Genomic DNA, 21,555 nt, shown 5'->3' with positions numbered 1-21,555 from the left:
CTAGCCTCCAAATACATGAGACAACACGGTTTATTATTTTCAGCCATCCAGTTTGTGGTACTTGGTTTATGGCAGTCCTGGGGAAACAATTCACCGCATGTTCCTAAAACTTTCCATTCAGTGGTAAAATTGCAGTTTCAGTTTGGAGCCATGGGTTGTTTTTTCTGTTTCTCCTTTTTAAGTCAAAAACCAAGATTTATAATGAAAACACTAAATAACTTCGTTTTTGTTTTCAATAGCAATTAAACCTGTCTTAGGCCTCAGAATAAATACTTGCCTTTCTATACTCCGGAGTGGAAAAATTTGTTTAGACATGGGGCTGTTGTTTCTCAGACTAAATTAAATCTACTTTTAAAAGATTATTTAAATGTGAAGTCATCCTGCATGTAGTTTCTAGAGGAATATTTCTTCTTACTGGGTTCCACATTGGTCTCAACTCATAAAATGATAATGGACTGTTTATCATAAACATGATCAGTAAAACATGGTTACCATGTTAAATAGAAGGTGGCAATGCAGATACTGACATTCAAAGTCAAATTTATTTTACATTTCCTTCTTATATAAAATACTGAAGAACAGGTACTATGAGATCCTCAATTGTTTATATTCATCATAGTTCATCGGCCAGATAATCTAGCTAAAAATTAATTCTTATCTAATAAGGTAAAGTTAAAACTACATATAGATGCCTAGAATCCTTACTAATAATCTTGGCTTTTCTTTTTTAAAGCTCTTACAGTGGAATGATGTTCCTAAAAGAAAACTTCAAACACATGTTTGGGGTGGGGGGGGCTTGCATTTTTCATTGAAATGCGTCTATGATAGGACTGCAGATAAAAATACAGCATGCCCAATAAAATGTGAATTTCAGATTAACAATGAATTTTGGTTTTAGGATAAGTATGTCCCAAGCAATATTTGACATAGAATTATACTGAGAAATTATTTTTTGTTGATCTGAAATTAAAATATAATTTAGTGCCCTGTATTTCTATTTGCTCAGTCTGGCAACCCTACTCAAAAAGTATAGGTAGAAAGTTGACTCATGACCCTGTAGAAGTTCCACAGATGCAAAGGACCTTTTTGATGCAGAAAAAGACAATACCAGTAATATCTCACACAGGGCTGGAAGTTGGTTATACTTGTTCGTTCAGGGCCAGCACTGATGCTTTGCCTCCAAAGAAAATAAAGGAACTGAAGCACAGTCATGAATTTCCTTTACTTTTCAATTAGACTCCTAGAACCACCCCCATAAATCTGTATTTGATCCTTTGCAGAATTAGCTTGTGAGAGAAGGAAGGCTTTCTATGATTTAGAAAATTCTAAAGCTGTTCTTTAAATGAATGAGTTCTAGTTTTCTGCTGTAAGTGCCAGAGGTTGCTTTCCTAATGTTATTATTTTTTTAATAGGATCTTTATAAATTCTTGGAGTTGGCAATTTAGCTGGCTAGGGAGCAAGAGTTGGTGGGTATCTCCCATCCAGATTAGTTCTGATTGGGCTTTCCCCATCCAGATTAGGTCTGATTAGGGTGTCCCCATCCAGATGAAATCTGATTGGCCATTTGCATCCAGGTTGGGTCTGACTGGGGTGTTCCTGTCCAGATTGGGTCTGATTGGGGTGTACTCATCCAGATGGGGCCTCACTGGGGGTGTCTCCATCCAGATTAGGTCTGATTTAAGTATTCCCATTGAGATTAAGTCTGATTAGGGTATCCCTGTCCTGATTAGGTCTGATTAGGGTAACCCCATTCATATTAGCCCAGACCCGTCACCTCTTATTGAAAATCTTTCCTACCATTTCTTATCTCTTTTTTCTTTACCACTAGTCTTTTCTTCACTTTTGCTATCTTGGTACTTTTTCTTCCCAAATGTAAGCTTTTTCTGCTGGCTGCTAACAACCTCTGTTGCCTATAAATAACTTACTGGAAGACCATTTCCCTCTTGTGGGTGGAGGCAGGCTGGGGTTTGGCCTAAGGGCTGGTCTTGGCCACTCTCTATCTTGACTCTGGGTCATCTCTCCTGCCCACAGCCAAGCCCCAGACCATGGAGATTTCACCTCACAGACCCATAAGTCACTTAGAGAACTGCTGCCCATGAAAATATCCAACCTAGCCAAAGCCACTGCTTTTATCAATCCCAGGTTAAATAGATTCATAAATGTATTAGTTTGCTATGCCACATAACAAATTACCCCTACATAGAGGTTTATGACAGCACGCATTAATTATTTCACAGTTTTGAGGTATTAGGAATCTGGACACAACTTTACTGGGTCTTCTGCTCAGGGTCTTACAGAGCTATAATCAAGGTATTGACCAGGCTGTGTTCTCATCTGGAGGCTGGAGTGGGGAAGAATCCACTTCCAAGCTCACTCCAGTTATTGGCAGCATTTATTTCTTTGAGGTTGTGAGAATGAGGCCCTTGGCTTCTTTCTGATGTTGGGAGGCTGTCCTTAGCTCCTAGAGGCTGCCTGTTAACCCATGCCACATAGCTTCCTCAAAATGCCTGCTTACTTCATCCAGCCAGCAAGGAGAGTCTCTCATGTTGGCAACCAAAACAAAACCTTACATAATAGAACCATGGGAACAATGGCCCACTCTTTTTGCTGTATTCTATTGGTTAAAAGCAATCACAGGTCCTGCCCATACTCAAGGGGAAGGAATTAGACAAAGAGGTGAGCACCAGGAGATAGGGATAAAAAGCTCAGCCCACAAGCTGTAAGCCTGGGGTAGCTATTTAAACATTTTCATGCAGATTCTAAGTGCAAGTAACGGTACCAAAGAATATGTGTATATCTTTGGTCCCTTCCTTCTTTGAGTCAAATTTTTGAAGAAAAACCATTTAATGTCCCTCTAAAAAAACTTCAACCCTTAGAGAATTGCTTTAGTTGTACATTTTAGGAAGGACCACAGGCCCAGAGTCTGAAATAGGAATTTTAAAAGGACCCAGGGTATAAACAAAGGCTTAGAAGACCTAATCCTGTATTTCTTTCTCCAGGCCCCTAATGTTCTGAGTCCAATTGCAATGACAACTTCATGACACTGGCCATGGTCAGGGATTGGGAAAAACATCACTTATAAGAATCTTGGTGGTAGATCAATTTCCTTTCACTTTATGCAAGAGGTTAGTGTGCACTAGTTTCCTCTGATGTTAGTGTGGTCCCCTGAATTCTCAATCACAGCAGTTGGTAACATGTCCTCAAGAGGGGAAATGGCCAGGCAGACAATGATAACACCCAGGATGGCACAGCCCTCAAAGGAACTCATCAGCATGGCATAGGTGCTACCATCAGAACTCATATTGCATTGCATTTCTCTCTGTTGCACATCTCTCTGCTGTCACTCCTTTGTCCCTCTGTCTGTAGCTCATCCACTAACAACTGACTTCTCCCATTGTTTAGCTCTTAGCTTGAATGTTGGCTCCTCGCATGCCTTCGCGACACATGAACAGTCTTAACACCCTGATTCGCCTCCTTTACAGCATGTACTGGATTCTTGAAGCCATCTTGCTCCATATTTAACTTCTTGTTTGTTGATCTCATTCTTCTATAAACACCACATCTGCCTCCCTCATGGTGAGGTCCTCCATGCTGTGAAGGTGCCTGGCATTGGGAAAGCTCCAGTTGAGTATCTGTAGGTGAAGGAATAAGCAGAGTGGAGCTGAGGGTGCACTCTGAAACCTTCATCCAGCCCCAGGCCACTTCAGAAGAGACTGTGGGTGGCAGGTTCTACGTATGGCTGTGTGCATTTTGAGCACGCCTCACATCTACCCCTCTTGGCACTAACTAGCCGTCTACTCCTTTGTGAGCTCAGAATCAGGATTTTCACTCTTCCACACCTGGGAAGAATTCAGAGTGGTGCAAGTGTGGACCCAAAGCAAGTCACTGAGCTCACAGGCTGGAGCCCTGGCCTGCCAGACGTAAAGTGAGGCAACTCCTCAGAGTATTAGGAGGTCCCAATGACAAGGACCTTCCAGAGGCACTTTGAAAAGTTTGAACTGCCAGGTTTATATAGAGAGTAACTTGAGTTTCTGCTAAACTCTTTAGAAATGATGATAAGTCTTTCAACCTGCTATGGAGAAGCTGAGATCTGGGGTATGGGCCCCCCAGGTGCATCAGCCAACCTGATCCCAGAAAAAAACTAGGCTCCAGAACCCAGAGTGACTCCAGCTGAGAAGAGCCAACTATAAGTGCAAATGTGGGGCAATAATTGTGTGATAGTGAATGACCTCCTTATGGCTGTGCAATGAGATGCTCTGACACTGCTCTAGATTAGTCAGCAGTGTAAGATGAAACATGACCTTCACCTCCCCCACATCTGAGAGGCTGAAGAGCATGCAGGCTTCTGTGTTTGCCTGTGGAACTCTGCCCTCACCCCTGGCACCTGCCTCTTACGGAACTGACCTGCGCCAAACACTAAAGAAAGCTATGACCTGCCCTGGCCGGGCACGGTGGCTCATGCCTGTAATCCCAGCACTTTGGGAGGCCGAGGTGGGCAGATCACGAGATCAGGAGATCGAGACCATCCTGGCTAACATGGTGAAACCCCATCTCTACTAAAAATACAAAAAAATTAGCTGGGCGTGGTGGCGGGTTCCTGTAGTACCAGCTACTTGGGAGGCTGAGGCAGAAGAATGGCGTGAACCTGGGAGGCGGAGCTTGCAGTGAGCCGAGATTGCACCACTGCACTCCAGTCTGGGCGACAGAGCGAGACTCCATCTCAAAAAAAGAAAAAAAAAAAAGAAAGAAAGAAAAAAGAAAGCTATGACCTGCCCCAAAGCCTCTCCACAATGGGGAGAAATAGACTGGAGAAATGGGATTCAGATATGTGAAAGGCAGAAGTACCCACCCCCAACATTGACAGTGACCTATCACTTAAAATGTACAAAACGAAGCCTCAATGCTACCAGTGAAAGGCTGCAAGAGCAAAAGAAAAGATAGCTACCGAGGGCTGGAATGAGTCACAGGGCTAATGCTTGTCTCTGTACTCCAGCAGGGCTCTGCAGCTGAGGGTCTGGGACACATCCCCATCATGGTTGAAAGAGATTGCAGCTATGCACAAAATTCACTGTTGCTCCTCCAAAATGCTAAGCCATTTTGCTATGCAAGTCATGGCTTTCTTCATTACAAGGTCCGTGCAAAGAGTGAGGATTAATTCATCACTGCCATGCCAAAAAATGCAATATTCCCATTACAGTCCCATCCTAGTCACAAGGCTCAACTATGAAAAGGAATGCACTGTAGAGGTTTTGAGAATATCTTGAAAATGTCATGTTTAGATTCTGCCTGAGATGTTAAACACTATATGCTCAATTAGGAATTATTATCAGTACCGTCTCCTTTAGTAATTAAGAAGTGTGTCACCTGTGAAACGTTGAATGAAGCAACTCCTCAAGGTACAAAACAAAGGAGAAAAATGCACAGGATAAAAATACGAACACACTGACTTTAACTTTCTGTAGACATTACCAAAGACCTTGATTCATTTTATTATGAACTCTGCATATAAGCCCCTCACAAAGAGCAAGATTCCATTGGACTTAATTTTGCATGCCTGGCAATTAGTGTAAGGCACATTGGAATTCAATAAATGTTAAATGTGTGCACGGAGATTCATGCACACTGATGCTTATCCCAATGCTACTTATAATGAAGATGAACTGTAAATAAAACACACTAAATTTCCAGCAATAAGAACTTGGACAAGCATAGTTTGATAAGTATATACATTGCAACTATTTAAAATCAGATCACATTCTTGAAGAATACAGATAAATAGAAACTGCTCATAATATTATGTCAAAGTTAAGCAAACATACAAATGCATATTATATAAATGGTAGGTCTTTAATAGAAAAATATCTGTAAGCACATGCACCACAATAAAATGTTACCAATAGTTTTTGGTGTGGTGGAAATATGTATGGTTTTAATTTTTGATCTATACACTTCTGTATTTAATCAAGTTGCTACAATGATCATATCTACTCTTAGAATGAATGAATGAATGAACAAATGAATGACCCCATGATAATTCAAGAATGATCGCCCCATGATCTTGCAGCCTCATCCCTATGCCTTTGGATTAAAACACGCCAGAAGTTCTTCTGTCCCAGTAACCACTCACTTCATTGCCACGTTGCCCACTGTTCTGGGTTAAGATGCTGTCTCCATCCAGTTAAAATGCACCTTATTTTCATGAAATGCACCTATTTTCCATTATTATAATGAGCTAGAGAGCTACGACCTGACAGACAGCAGATCTCTAAAAAAGCTGAAATGAGAGGCCAGGCGCTGTGGCTCACGCCTATAATCCTAGCACTTTGGGAGGCCAAAGCAAGTGGATCATCTGAGGCCAGGAGTTCAAGACTAGCCTGGCCAACATGGTGAAACCCCATCTCTACCAAAAACACAAAATTAGCCAGGTGTGGTGGTGTGCGCCTGTTATCCCAGCTACCTGGGTGGCTGAGGTGGGAAAATCGCTGGAACCCAGGAGGCAGAGGCTGCAGTGAGCCGAGATCACGCCATAGCCCTCCAGCCTGGAGGACAAAGCGAGACTTTGTCTCAAGAAAAAAAAAAAAAAAAGAGAGGAAAAAAAAAAAGAAAGCTGAAATGAGGACACGTCAGTCGGGATTTGGGAGGTGGAAACGCAAGTGTTCTGAAAGATCTCTCAAGCAGCTCTTCTCAGTAGTTCTGGGTGGGGCCCAAGATCTTGCCTTTCTAACAAGCCCCCAGGTGATTAATAAGCTGCCAGTCTGCCCACCGCACACTGGGTAGCAAGGCACAGAGAGTGCCTTCACAGGTTTTTTCAAAATCCCCACCTGTTCGAGCATTCAGCGGATACTCGTAGGTTATATCTATATTCTTTCTGGAGTTTCATCCATCGCTAAGGCAAAATCAGGCACCACTGCAAATATTTTGTTGCTTTTTGAAGAAGTATGTGATCCAACATCCTTCTCTCATAAACAACCTTCTGGGGAGCTCAGGGATTTATAGGCAGTGTGAGGAACTGCACCACTAGCAAGACATAGCACCCTCCTGGGGAAGCATGCACTCATCTCCATGAGGTTGTTTTGATCTGGGCTCTTGGCATGGTGGTGCAGGTGTGTGGAGCCACCGAGAGACACAGGCTCACTCTAATAACCTGCCTTTGCACAGAATGCAGCTGATGCTCTCAGCTAATGGAGAAAATGAGTTATGCAAGGTCAAGGTCGAAAGAACTTACAGCTTGTTAGGTACCCCATTTCAGACATGCCTCATTCACTGGTCCTTCCAAGGGGGAATGCTGGCAGTGGGGTTCCATTCTGGCCATTCTCCTAAACCCATCTTCTGTGATGAAACAGAGTTGACTAGGACCCAGTGGTGGCATTTATAATTGGGAAATCTGCCAGGGGAATATGAGAAATGATCTAACTTAAAAAGTTATGCTAATAACTAGCATTACTCAACAGCTGCATGGGCTGGGATGGGACAAAATGAGCTCCTTTCACAGTGGGCATCCAAGTCAAAGCCAGAGAGCCATCTGCCAGGCGAACAGAGAAAGGATTTCTGCCCAGTGAGACACAGAGCCAGATGATCTTGAAGGTCCTTTCCAACTCTAAATTCTGTGTTTTAAACTGACACGGGGTTACCTGCTTGGTGGGAAAAGTGGCCGCTTGTATTGGAGGATAACGGAGAAAAAGACATGTTTAATGTCCTCACCTAAAGGCGAGTGAGGAGCTTCCTCACTGTGTCTTCTCCTGGCAAAGTGACAGGTGAGGGGAAACGAGGGACTTGCTTCCCCAGGAAGGCAGAAATGAGGGTACAGCTGCTCATTTAGGTGAAGGAAGGAGAACGGATGGCATGTTAACAGCAGAGCTCTGCACACCAATTGGCATATTGCGCAAAGACAAAAACATGCAGTTTATATGAGAATGGAACCCACACCTAGACAGACAGGTCGGGATCTAGATTGCAACAATCTTGCTCAGTTCCTAGCTTCAGAGATGAGTCTGCAGGAGGCAGGAAGATAGAAAGGCACATGTGCTGAAGAGGAAACACACTGTGGCAAGTATGTCTAGGTCCTGTCCCCAACAAAACACTGCACAAGGTGGGTGAGGATGTGGAAAGCATCCTGAAAGAGAAGTTGGGCACTCCAGGTCTCAATGTCCAGGTCACACCTGACTGATCACAGTCAGGATATCTGGGGGTGGATCCAGACATTGAGATTTTTGAGACTCCAAAGTGGTTTCAAGGTACAGTCCCAGGTTGAGAAGCGTGGATCTAATCCCCACTCTGCCACCAACAAAGAAATCCTGGCCAAGGCACTTAACCTTCTTGGGTCCAGCTGAAACTTAGAAGATAAGAAAGATCCATGGCTGAGGTCTTCTTCAGCAATACATGTCCTATTGTTCCATGAAACTTTTAAAGCTTCTAGTTATTTCTACCCATTTAGTCTTAAAACCTGACTGACATTCATGGTACTCACAAGGATCAAACCACAGAATTCCATTAGTTTCCTGGTGTGACCTACTGTTACTGAAAAAAAATTATATCTTTCATACCTCTTTTAATATTGTTTGCTGCTAACCCTCCCTATGCCTGCTACCCCATGAAATGCTTTTCCCCTGGGCTTGGAGGAAATGAAAAGGCCATTGGGGAGAGATTTCCATTATGTGTACTTACTGCTTTTTTCTTTTCTGTAGCAGCTGCAGTTAAGGGCAAAAAGTCGTTAAGTATTTTGAAATATCTGACTGTCAGATTATTCATTGCTGGAACTGCAGATAAGACTAAGCTGCCTCCTTTAAAAAAAAAAACACCTAAATCAGTGATAAGTAACTTTAATGCATGACTACTGTACGCTACTTTATACGTGAGAATAAATTAGGTGATTAGGAAAAAGAGACTAAGCTTTAGAGTTACTCAAACACACAAAGGTCAATAGAAATTATTCCATAAGCGATTAAAATATGTATTACTTTACAATGGCCTCTAGCGATGAAAGGGAAATGGACCCTTAACCTTTCTTCTTCAGGAACCAAGGGCTTTTTCATTATCTTTGGTGTTTTCTGAGGCATCTGATCATACACACAGTTCCAAAAGAAAAACATGATATAAACAATTGTTGGAAATGTTTTTCTATTTTCTATCATGGAAAAAAGGGTAACATTTGGGGCAGCTGCTCATGCGTTATTTTGTATTCAAAGGTCAAGTAAAACTTAAGTGAGGTCAAAAGAACTTGTTTGTCTTTTTCTTATTTCATATTATGTAACTTGGAACTAATCTTTAACTCTCTCCTCTCCAAACATCACAAGGTAATCTTGGATTTAAGTCCTGTGGTATAGCTATCCACTGGGATCTTGAAATTGAGAGACTAATAATACTTGCTCTTACATTTTGTAATTTTAAAAATACTTCCTCATGCATTATCTCTCACAACACATCCTCCCACTCTTGCCCCAAAGCTGTCCCCTCTCTTGATCAAGATTCATAAAATTTCTTAGTTGGAAAAGATATCAGATGTCACTTGGTTGAACTTGCTGGAGTGTGTTCCACAAAAATCCTTATGGTGATCACCTCAGCTGGAATAGACCTCATAGGTATAAATAAGCTCATTCATTCATTCATTGATTCAATAAATGCTTACTACTTGCCTACTATGTGTCCAGCAACACCTCTTGCTAGCCCTAAGGAAAAAGAGTGAGAAAGGCATGACCATTTGTTAGCTTCTAGTCTAGCTGGGGAAAAAGTGGCAACTAAACCAAAACCTATGTTCAGGGCACACAGAAGACAGTGATCAGACCTAGCTTGAGTTGATAAGTGCTATTCAGAGAAGGCTTAAGGGGCAGGTAGTTCATATCATCAAAAGAGTCATCATAATCAAAAAATTAGAAACATAAAATAGAAGAGAGTCCTCAGTGTGGTGAAGGCAGCAGTGGTGACATTATGTCCATGTCCTGCCTCGTCTCTAAGAGGACTGGCAGTTCTCTGTCCTTCCTTTGGAATGGTGAAGAAAGCACATGGAGAAGCTACACAAAGGGCCACAAGGAGTGAAAAGTCCTAACATTTGGAAAAGCGGTCTAGTCATCAAGTCCTAGTTAAGCCTCAGCAAAGTTGAACCCTAGACCCACTTGACCACAAACATATAAAAGGCCTCAAGAACTACCAGCAGAAGAGCTGCCCAGCTGAGCCCAGCCATCTCATAAAACCACAAGCAATAATAAAATGATTATTGTATTTTTTTTTTGAGATGGAGTTTCGCTTTTGTCGCCCTAGGTGGAGTGCAATCATGCAGTCTCGGCTCAATGCAACCTCATCCTCTTGGGTTCAAGTGATTCTCCTGCCTCAGCCTCCCAAGTAGCTGGGAGTACAGGCACCCACCACCATGCCTAACTAATTTTTGTACTTTAATTAGAGACGAGCTTTCACCGTGTTGGCCAGGCTGGTCTCGAACTCCTGACTTCAGGTGATCCACCTGCCTCGGCCTCCCAAAGTGCTGGGATTACAGGCACGAGCCACCACACACAGCCAGTTATTGTATTTATGCCACTAAATTTTGATGTAATTATGGAGCTAGAGCCAACTGAAACATTCAGAAAACATCACAGAATTTAGTAAGGCTAGAATACAGGGAATCCTGAAAGGAGTGGAATAAATGAGGCTACAAAGGTGACAGAGCCCACACCCTGATGAACTGAGTAGCGCATCAGTTAGTAGAATGAAGATGGAGTGGCATCGCTTCCTCCAGCCATTCCTCCTACCTTTGTTATGGTTCAGATTCCTTTATATTCAGCCTCCTTAAGTAGTACATTTCAGTCCAGTTCAAAAATCCAATTTCATATCTGACATAAAACAATCTCCTCCCACTCTGGAAACTAGACTGTGATCCAGGTCTTGGAATAGGGGTGAGAGCTTTTATTCTTCTCCTACCCATGTTTCTTAGGGTCCTGGACCTTCGGGGTAAGAGAGAGGATACCAGGAAAAATAAAACCGGCAAAGGCTTCTTCACTTACCTGGGAGCAGTTGTGATCCAGTCCTGGTTAGCTCCTGTGGCTAGCAGAAGAGGTCGATGCCCTCCATGTGCTAACTCCTGCATGATGCATGGTCACGGCTTGCCATTTGGCCTCTACCCCTATCCTTTTTCTGGCATTCCACCACTAGGCGGGGGCACCTGTGTGGATTCCTAGGGGGCCTTGCAAGCTTCCCCATGAATGGGAAAGGAGTTTAGGGTTCAGCTTCAGTTCTTTACCCGCCTCCGCCATTCTCACCTCCCACCAGGTTTCATCCACAGCTGCTTGAGGCTGCAGGACCCTTGCTGGCAGGCAGCCCCCTTGGAGGGGTAATGGAAATGTCTCACGCCCAGTTGCCTTCCATGGAAAAGGTACACTTCATCAGCCATTCAAAAGGCAGCTGGCAGGCTGCTCCCCTGTTGCCCTCTTTCCCTCTGCTCTGCCTCTCTTTCCAATTACTTTTCCTGCTCAGATAGGCCTAGTACCTATGCAGATGTGCACTCTACTCTTCCATAGGGGAAGAAGAAAGAACCAGGGAGAGGGGAGAAAAAGTCTCAGCATAAACATTGCCTTTCCCCCACAACCATAGCAATAGCAATGAAACTAGAAATGGTTTTATGGCCATACCCTGGCCCTTACCTTATATAAACTAGAGTGGTGAGAGACTGCAGTGGGGCCAGCTCCTTTGCCTCCTACAAATACCTGGTTAGTTGCATGTGTGTGTGTGTGTATGAAGAGGGTGCAGGAAGATCTGGCCCTAATATTTGCTGACTTTCTTTAGAATATGGACTCTGCTACCAATTCTAGAGCAATAGGAGAAGTCACACTCAACTTTTAACTTCTAAACTAACTTAATAGTTTGCAGGGCTGGGCACTGTGGCTCATGCCTGTAATCCCAGCACTTTGGGAGGGTGAGACGGGAGGATCACCTGAGGTCAGGAGTTTGAGACTAGCCTGGCCAACATGGTGAAACCCTGTCTTCACTAAACATACAAAAATTAGCCAGGCGTGGTGGCGCATGCCTATAATGCCAGCTACTCGAGAGACTGAGGCAGAAGAATAGCCTGAACCCAGGAGGTGGAAGTTGCAGTGAGCCGAGATCACGCCACTGCACTCCAGCCTGGGCAAGAGAGCGAGACACCAACTCAAAAAAAAAAAAAAAAAAAAAAAAAAAGATACCCACACCTCCTCTGCTGACTCCCTTGTGGTCAACAATGGAAACACAGTTGACCAAAGACCAGCCTGGGAGACAAGACCAAAACTCCGTCTCAAAAAAAAAAAAAAAAACAGTTCGTGAGATTTTCAAGTAGAGAAGTCACAGGAACAGATTGCATTTCGGAAGGATTACTGAGTATCAGTGTGAACGATCAGAGGCTAGGAGACCAGTTGCAAGTGTCCTGTGGTAGTGCAGGTAAGAGATGTTTTAAAACCTGAACAAAAGCAGCAAGACAGGGGGGCAGAAGGGTGACCTGAAAATAATATCACCCACTTCACACACATCATCCTCATACGTGTCCTCTGGATCCCAAGCCCACAAATGTCACAGAAATAGGAGCAACCGAAGTGTCCACCAATTAGATATGCAGGTTGTAGGAGGATGAATCAAGGTTGACTACTAGTCCCCGGCCAAGATGAGCAGAGAGCTGGTGGGGACATTCACCAGATTGGGGCATACGCTGGGGGTTGCAGGGAGGAAGAGCAGTTTCAGAGAAAAAGATAAAGGAAGTCCATTTTATTGCTGAACTACTCTAATCAATAGAAAGACCTTCTTGGTGGAATTTAAATCTTTCTTCCTACAACTCAGAAGTGTATAGCTGTCTCAGTTGAGAATCAATTCTGTTGCAAATAACAGGAAGCCAGCCAACAATGGCTGAAACAGTAAGGCTGATTTTTTTCACATAAGAAGACTGGCCTGGTGCGGTGGCTCGTGCCTGTAATCCCAGCACTTAGGGAGGCTGAGGCAGGTGGATCACCTGAGTTCAGGAGCTCAAGAGTAGCCTGGGCAACATGGTGAAACCCCATCTCCACTAAAAATACAAAAATTAGCCGGGCGTGGTGGTGTGTGCCTGTAATCCCAGCTACTCAGGAAGCCAAGGCACGAGAATCGCTGGAACCCGGGAAGCAGAGGTTGCAGTGAGCCAAGATCGCACCATTGCACTCCAGGCTGGGCAACAGAGTGAGACTCCATCTCAAAAAAGAAAAAAAATTGAAGACTGGGGATTCCTTGTCCCAGGATGGTATGGATGTCAGCAAAGACCCAGCCTTCTTCTATCTTCCTGGTTTGCTATGCTTATCAGGGAGCTTTCATCCTCAAGGCTGCAAGAAGGCTACAGTACCATGTCTGTCCTAATCTCAGCAGGGGGGAAAAGGGAAGAGCAAAAGATAAAGCCCTTTATCTTTGGGAGGCTTTGCCCTTTTATTTAGAAAGCGACTCCTATGCCAGGTACTTCTGTATATATTTCATTGTCCAAAACCACTGCATGGGTCACCCTTAGCTACAAAGGATGCTTAGGATTGAGTTGCTTGCCAGAAGAGCTTTCACATTAGAGTGACAAGGAGGAGAAGCCAGCCACAAAAGCACTCTAGTTTTCTGAGACTCCTTGTAACACCTCCTCCTTAGTATTCTCTTTCCCTGGCCTAACTCCTGCATGGTGCAGGGCATTTGGCCCCTCCCACCACACCCCCACCCCTTTCTGGCATTCCTTATTTTGTCAGAAGCTCAGTGTCTTTCTTTAAAAGAGGCTCTAGGCCGGGAGCAGTGGCTCACGCCTGTAATCCCAGCACTTTGGGAGGGCAAGGTGGGCGGATCACGAGGTCAGGAGATGGAGACCATCCTGGCTAACACGGCGAAATATCATCTCTACTAAAAATACAAAAAATTACCCAGGTGCGGTGGCACATGCCTGTAGTCCCAGCTACTCGGGAGGCCGAGGCAGGAGAATAGCTTGAACCCGGGAGGTGGAGGTTGCAGTGAGCCGAGATTGTGCCCCTGCACTCCAGCCTGGATGACAGAGCGAGACTCCGTCTCAAAAAAAAAAAAAAAAGAGGCTCTAGTTTTGGACCTCTGTTCAGATGCGGCCCATCACTGAAGAAGTGAAATGGGCCTATTACCTATCATGATTGTCAGGAAGTGCTCTTTTCAGAAATGCAGCCTGGGCCACATCTTACTGTTGCTCCCATGGTCTACACATTTCTTTTCCTTTTTGATGCTGCACCTTCCAGTACTGTTCCTGCCTCTTTGACTTACCCAGGTCTTTTTTCCCCTCCCATTCTATGTCATTGTTCCTAAAGGATCCAGCCTTAGTCACTGATTTTCTCTCTGTACATTCTACCCTGCGACACTTCATGGATGTGCGTGTATCTGTGCAGGTGACCACTTCTCTCCTAAATCTTCTTCCTGAAGAGCCAGCTGCCTGCTAAACAGATGCCATCAGCCAAGGCAGCGTGGTGCATCCATCTCCTCCACAGGGTGGCTGTGCCAACAGAGCTATGACGGAGAGTTGACAAAGATCACCGTCCTCTGGGATGTGATTTGAAGGGCACTTGCAATACCTTTACAAAGTGTCTCCCGGTCTCTCATTCTAACCTAACTGTTCAGACCCACAATCATTACTGATGTGTTGACTTTTAAGTTCACTCTCAGAGGGTAATCTCATTTATTTTATCAAAAATATCAAACCTCAGTGAATTCCCAGCTATAATTCCATAGTCCCGTTTATTATGTCTCATTTAGGCTCAAAATTTAAAACACTCTTAACTCTTTTTCCTCTATCAAATGTAATATACCTTCAAGTATTACTGATTTTTTTCATTCTTAATGTTTTTGTATCTTTTCTTTGCAGTCCTATCATTATTAGCTTATTTGAGGCTATTATTGGCCATTATTCTCACAACTCAATGTTATTTTAGGTTTCCAGCTGATCTCCCAGGCTCTAGTCTTTTCCTATTTCGAGCTCATTCTTCCCAATACAACCACAATATTAAGTCTCAAGCTCTTTTTTCACATTGTCTCACTATTCAAAGGTTTGTAATGGCTACCCATCTCTCACAGGCTAAAGATCAGAGCCCTCCATTTGGGAAGACTACTATTTTAAAGAGGGTGGAATAAAATCAATATTTTCTCCCTCATCTTTTTGGAAATCATCCCAAAGCAACAAAGAGAATTGTGGGGCGGGGAGGGGGGCGAATTCCATCTTTTGATGATACTAAGAGTTAAAATCCTCAACTCCCAAAATGAGTGGAAAGCCTACCCGTGTCAATGGTAAATGGACAGCAGTGCACATGTGAGGGAGAGGAGAGAGAAACCAGATGCCAAGGGTTACAAACAGAGTGAAGAAAGCATGGTTCTCAAAGTTGACAGGCATATCCTGAGCTGCAAAACCTAAATGTTTTGTTCACCACAGCAGGGGTGTGGTGTGTGGGAGACACTGGATGTGATTTGGTTGCAAGAAGAAAAAGAGACAGGACTCACAGACAAAACACAGGTGGGAGTCTGTGTGGAGGAAGAAGCCTATCTCTGTAGCAATGGTGTGGAAGAGACTTTGCCCTATGAAAAACCACAGTTTATCTTCAATGGATGGGGAGAAATAAAATCTAGGTACAATTAAACATAAATCCCTGGGTTATAAGGAATTTCCAGCTATATTGGAGCACAGCCCACACCCACCTCAACCCCAGCTTTCCACAAATAATTGTTCTAGGAGAAAGTCACCTGCTTCCAAGATAAGTAGTCAAAAAAGGAGGAAAGTCATGGTAAAAGCAAATGGCAGATAAAGAATACAGAAAAAATGTTCCCACAGAGCAGATGAAAGTTGTGACCATTGATCAAAGCATTTAACAAAGCATAATGAAGTAGGAACATCTCTGAAGAAACTATATCTTCAAGTTCATGAAAGAAGTAGAAGAAAAAAAAAGCACCATAAAAAGAAAACGAAATTGTAAGAACAGAAGGAAGAATAACCACTGCTGACATCATAAATGACAGAGGTTAGAAATGAAAAATCAAGCAAAATGAAAAGAAAGTATAGGAAAAGTTATTGGGATTAGAGAAAAAAATGATAGATGTGAAAGACAGGCAAAGGAGAACCAACATATATATAATTGAAATCCCAGAGGACAGAAACTCAAATAATGAACAAAGTAAATATTTTAAAATATATTTGACATAAAAGAAGTCTTGATAGCTGGGCATGGTGGTTCATGCCTATAATCTCAGCACTTTGGGAGGCCCAAGGGAGAGGATCACTTGAGCCCAGGAATCAGCCTGGGCAACATAGTGAGACCCCATCTCTCTCTCAAAACAAAAAAACAAAACAAAACACACACACACACAAAAAGAAGAAGAAGAATCATCTACATGTGGAAAGGTTACAAAATATCCCAGGAGAAACTGACACAGAAGAGTCAGCTCTGAGACATCCTAGTTAAATACTGCTCCTGCTGGTGCACCCCCATTCCTAACAGGCTATGAACTGGTCCATGGCCCAGGAGTTGGGAACCCCTGCTGTAGGCAATTATAGCACAAAAGTATTTATGCATCTAAACATATCTAAACAAAGAAAAGGTACAGAAAAAAATATGGTATAATGGATTTTTTTTTTAAAGAAAGGTACACCTGTAGAGGGCACTTACCATGAATGGAGCTTGCAGGACTAGAAGTTGCTCTGGGTGAGTCAGTGAGTGGGTGGTGGGTGAACGTGAAGGCCTAGAACATTACTGTACACTACTGGAGACTTTATAAACACTGTACACTTAGGCTACACTAACTAATCATGCTACAACAGTTATGATGTCACTAGGTGATAGAAACGTTTCAGCTTCAGTATAATCTTATGGCAGCATCATTGCATATGCAGTCCATCATGGAACAAAACATTGTTACATGGTGCATGACTCTATGTTCTTTCAAAACCCTGATTTACCATGTCCAGGCATACTTGATCCAAGAGACGTGTTATCATATATTATAGAGCATGAAGCTGGACATGAAAAGCATTTCTGGCCAATAAATTGGACCCCACTCTCCACTTCTCCTTCCTTCTCAAACTGTCCAGGGAGAAGTGTGTTGATTAGAAATCTTTCCTATTTCTTTACTTTTGGTTACTGTCATCAGAGCTTGTTACTCTAAAAGCTAGAAGGTTTGTTCAGTCAAACCTTAAAGTCAGACACTGGGGATATTGCAGGGATATTGCAGGGGGAAAAAAAACCAACAAAAGTTTCCATGTTAGTGAGGGAAGACAGAAAACAAGCAGATAAATTAATAAAAATATAGATGTCAAGGGAGTTAAAACTCTGATGAGAAAAAATAAAGCAAAGGAAAGGGATGAAGTGTGATAGGAGATGTTCTTTTAGATTTTTTTCCTAGTCTCTCTGATTTGTTTTTCTCTGCCATTTTTGGTTTGAGGTGGCACTCAACATATGGAGGGAGAAAGGGTGGAGGGATGGAGGGAGGAGGGAAAGAGGAAGGAGGTACGAAGGAAAGAAGCAGGGGAGAAGGAGGAAAGAGTGAAGGAGGGAAGGAAGGAAGGAAAAAGGAAGGAAGGAAGGGAGGAAGTGGGGAGGGAGAAAGGAAGGAAGGAAGGAAGGAAGGAAGGAAAGAAGGAAGGAAACATTTCTTTGCTGACCATTTTCTACCTTATTTTCATTTTTTTTTTTTTTTTTTTTTTTTGAGACAGAGTCTTGCTCTGTCACCCAGGCTGGAGTGCAGTGGCGTGATCTCGGCTCACTGCAAGCTCCGCCTCATGGGTCCATGTCATTCTCCTGCCTCAGCCTCCCGAGTAGCTGGGACTACAGGCACCTGCCACCACGCCAGGCTAATTTTTTGTATTTTTAGTAGAGACGGGGTTTCACCATGTTAGCCAGGATGGTTTCGATCTCCTGACCTCGTGATCCACCCACCTCAGCCTCCCAAATACCTGATTTTCTCTTTTTCCTCCAGAGAGTGTTCTCTTTGAGAACCAATCAATACAATGGAAATAGAAGGCTGTCCTTTGTGTCCAAAAGTGCTGGTGCCCACAGGTTTTCTCACCTCGTGTGCAGAGGTGTCTGAAAAAAACTGGGGACAAATAGGCTGTTCCCCACCAGGCCTGACTAGAGGCTGCCTTAACCAGCAACAAACATCTTAGCTGTTTGCTGTGCCCAGGGCATCTCTGCCCAGGGTCTGAAGTACGGCTTTTGGGTCTCTCACTTTGGCTTCTTGCTAACATTCTGCTTTGGGGCTGCCCCACCAAGAGCATTAGCTTGGGTTCCCTGATGTCTTACGTTCTCTGTGCTCATTTAATTTAGCGGTACAGCAGACGGTCTAAACATCCAAGTCTGTCAGAGCCTCACTCGGGCTGCTAGCGACACTAATTAACCTGCCCAGCGATCCTAACATGACAAGCCCCAGTGAATGCTGTAAAAGGGCTAAGGTCTCTCTGGACGGCACGCTTCTCAAGTGCTCTGTAAACAGCATGGTCCTGGGGAAATTCTCACTAGCCACTTGATCCATCCACCAGCCATGGTGATCTCCCAGCTGGAAACAGAACTGACTTTTGGTTAATTCCCTCCATCTTTGCATTTTCCCTCTTCTATAACATTGCCCCACCTGGCTCCTTGAGCAAATATACTGTTTTTCACTGGTCTTCCTCTCCCTCTAGACATTACACTCATGGAATACTATCCGTGAACATCACGATGTTTAAAGTACTTGCCTTATCTATCATCAGGCCCAGCACTCCTGGCACACCAGGAAGGATGTAGGAGCCTTGGCTAACTTGCTTCATGTGCTCAAGGACCCCACTAATATAATTCAGGTGACGTGGAGGCTGACATGAGAAAAGGGAAAGAAAATGAGGCATTCGAGGAAAAGTTAGGAGTGTGAAGAATGGCAGACATCTCTCTTCCAAGGACTGAATGTGAGATTACGGGAGAACAAGCCCAGTGATCCATGGGCTTGTTCTCCCATGGGCATGATCCTACATGATGGAATGGACAGAACTTTCAGACGAGATTATGTGTGAACTACTGATGGAAGGAGCTCTGGAATGGGAGGTTGGGGGCTCTAGTGCTGGTTCCACCACCAGCTGTGTGTCCTCATGCCAGCTCAGCAAGTTCTTCCTGGCCCCCTGTAAGGCTGTGAGGGAGAAACAGCCTCCCAGCTTAGAAAATGCTTGTGCCAGGCTTGTTTGAATTGTTGCAAGCAAGTCTATCATAGAAACGCCTTACCTCTCAGTAAACTATCGCAAGAACAAAAAACCAAACACCGCATATTCTCACTCATAGGTGGGAACTGAACAATGAGATCACATGGACATAGGAAGGGGAATATCACACTCTGGGGACTGTTGTGGGGTCGGGGGAGGGGGTAGGGATGGCATTGGGAGATATACCTAATGCTAGATGACGAGTTAGTGGGTGCAGCACACCAGCATGGCTCATGTATACATATGTAACTAACCTGCACAATGTGCACATGTACCCTAAAACTTAAAGTATAATAAAAAATTAAAAAAAGAAAAAAAAAAAAGAAACGCCTTACCTAACTTTCCACCAGTTTCCAGCCTTGTTTTTAATAATTTTTCCTAATTATCTAGCCTTGTGGTTTAACTGTTGTGGTACCCACTTGAACCCTTCGCTTGGGAAGACGCTGACCTCAATTGCAAACCACTGAGATTGACATGGAAATCCCTCCTGGGAGTCCCAGCAAGATCAAAGATGGGGCTGGAGGAAGAACAAACTTTGATAATGCCCACTAAGACTTCTCTTTTTTTGGCTCTCAGCCTTGAGGATAAATCATCTTGCTACACATTCACACATTCTCTCTCTCTCTCTCTCTCTCTCTCTCCCTCTCTCCCTCTCTCCCTCTCTCCCTCTCTCTCTCTCCCCTCCCTCTTACCGTTCCAGGGAGTATGGACACATGCCCTGTGGGATGCTTGATAAAATTCAGATCATCCTGGTTCCCACATGAGGTGCAAGCAAGTCTATCATAGAAATGCCTTACCTAATTTTCCACCTGTTTCCAGCCTCTTTTTTTTTTAAATAATTTTTCCTAATTATCTAGCCTTGTGGTTTAACTGTAGTGGTACCCATTTGAGCCCTTCACTTGGGAAGACACTGACCTCAATTACAAACCACTGAGATTGACATGGAAATCCCTCCTGGGAGTCCCAGCAGGATCAAAGATGGGGCTGGAGGAAGAACAAACTTTGATAATGCCCACTAAGACTTCTCTTTTTTTGGCTCTCAGCCTTGAGAATAAATCATCTTGCTACACGTTCACACATTCTCTCTCTCCTCTCTCTTCTCTCTCTCTCTCTCTCTCCTCCCTCTTACTGTCCCAGGGAGTATGGACACATGTCCTGTGGGATGCTTGATAAAATTCAGATCATCCTGGTTCCCATATGAGGTGCAAGCAAGTCTATCATAGAAACGCCTGTTTCCAGCCCTGTTTTTTAGATAATTTTTCCTAATTATCTAGCCTTGTGGTTTAACTGTAGTGGTACCCATTTGAGCCCTTCGCTTGAGAAGACGCTGACCTCAATGCAAAGCACTGAGACTGACATGGAAATCCCTCCTGGGAGTCCCAGCAGGATCGAAGATGGGGCTGGAGGAAGAACAAACTTTGATAATGCCCACTAAGACTTCTCTTTTTTTGGCTCTCAGCCTTAAGAATAAATCATCTTGCTACACATTCACACATTCTCTTTCTTCCTCTCTCTCTCTCTCTCTCTCCTCCCTCTTACTGTTTCAGGGAGTATGGACATATGCCCTGTGGGAGTATGGACATATGCCCTATGTGGCATAGATTTTTAGGATTATATATCAGAAATCAGAAGTTGGTGAATCTCAAGTAGCCTTGAGCCCACAGAAGTATTCTTTTTAGCCCAGTGGGTTTTTTAAACTAGCTTTTAAAAACTTGAATTAGTTGCAAATATTAAAATTTAGGAGTTTTTACCCAGAAATCCTAATTTTAAGTTTCTCTTGAAAAAGTCCAAGATCTATCCATGGTAACAGATGGCAGAAGCAGGTGACCCACTGCTCCCAAATGACCCACTTCAGTCATTTATTTTACTTGCTTATCTATCAATGACATTTGAATATTTTGCCCAAAATTTAATCCAGCTCTCCCATTTCACAGATGGTAAAATTGAGACCAGAAGGGATGAGTGACATTCCTGGGTCACACACACATTCCTAGGTGACATTCCTGTCTGCCAGGCAGTGGCAGAAATGACTAGAACACAGGTTCTCCTGCTCTGTTTCCTCAGTCATCTTCACCATTTACACATGAACTTGCACTTCTAAATGCAGTGCCCATTTCACCTCAGGTGCACGCACAGTCAGTTCAGTGGTTACCATTGTCCAACACACGTTTCTCCTCCATGAAGGGCCTCAGAGCAGTGCTTTCCAAATTCTCAACATCCACTGACCATAACAAGCATTGGCACGTACACCACTGGTCTTACATAAATCGTCTTTAAAAGTTCATCCAAAAAATTTAAATAAGAAAATTTAAATAAGAAAAAAATTTAATAAGAAAACATTATAAATGACAATAGTAATTGTTTCACAGCAATGGGATAATTTG

The 21,555-nt window shown here is 43.5% G+C and overlaps 1 protein-coding gene and 1 long non-coding RNA gene across 2 annotated transcripts in view; both read right to left on the bottom strand.

Moving 5' to 3' along the window:
* The window catches only part of SLC35F3 (solute carrier family 35 member F3), a 419,836-nt gene that overhangs the window by 356,471 nt on the left and 41,810 nt on the right, over positions 1 to 21,555 (bottom strand). The gene's annotated exons all lie outside the window — the stretch shown is intronic.
* Positions 521 to 10,327, bottom strand: LOC107985363 (uncharacterized). Its single transcript, XR_001738530.2, has 2 exons — positions 8,665 to 10,327; positions 521 to 3,632 (listed from the first exon to the last, which is right to left on the bottom strand). It is a non-coding gene; the product is annotated as an uncharacterized LOC107985363 (long non-coding RNA).

This window comes from Homo sapiens, chromosome 1, assembly GCF_000001405.40.
Source record: "Homo sapiens chromosome 1, GRCh38.p14 Primary Assembly".
Taxonomy (NCBI): domain Eukaryota; kingdom Metazoa; phylum Chordata; class Mammalia; order Primates; family Hominidae; genus Homo; species Homo sapiens.
The sequence above is the reverse complement of the archived record's forward strand: the minus strand, read 5'-3'. Positions and strand labels throughout refer to the sequence as shown.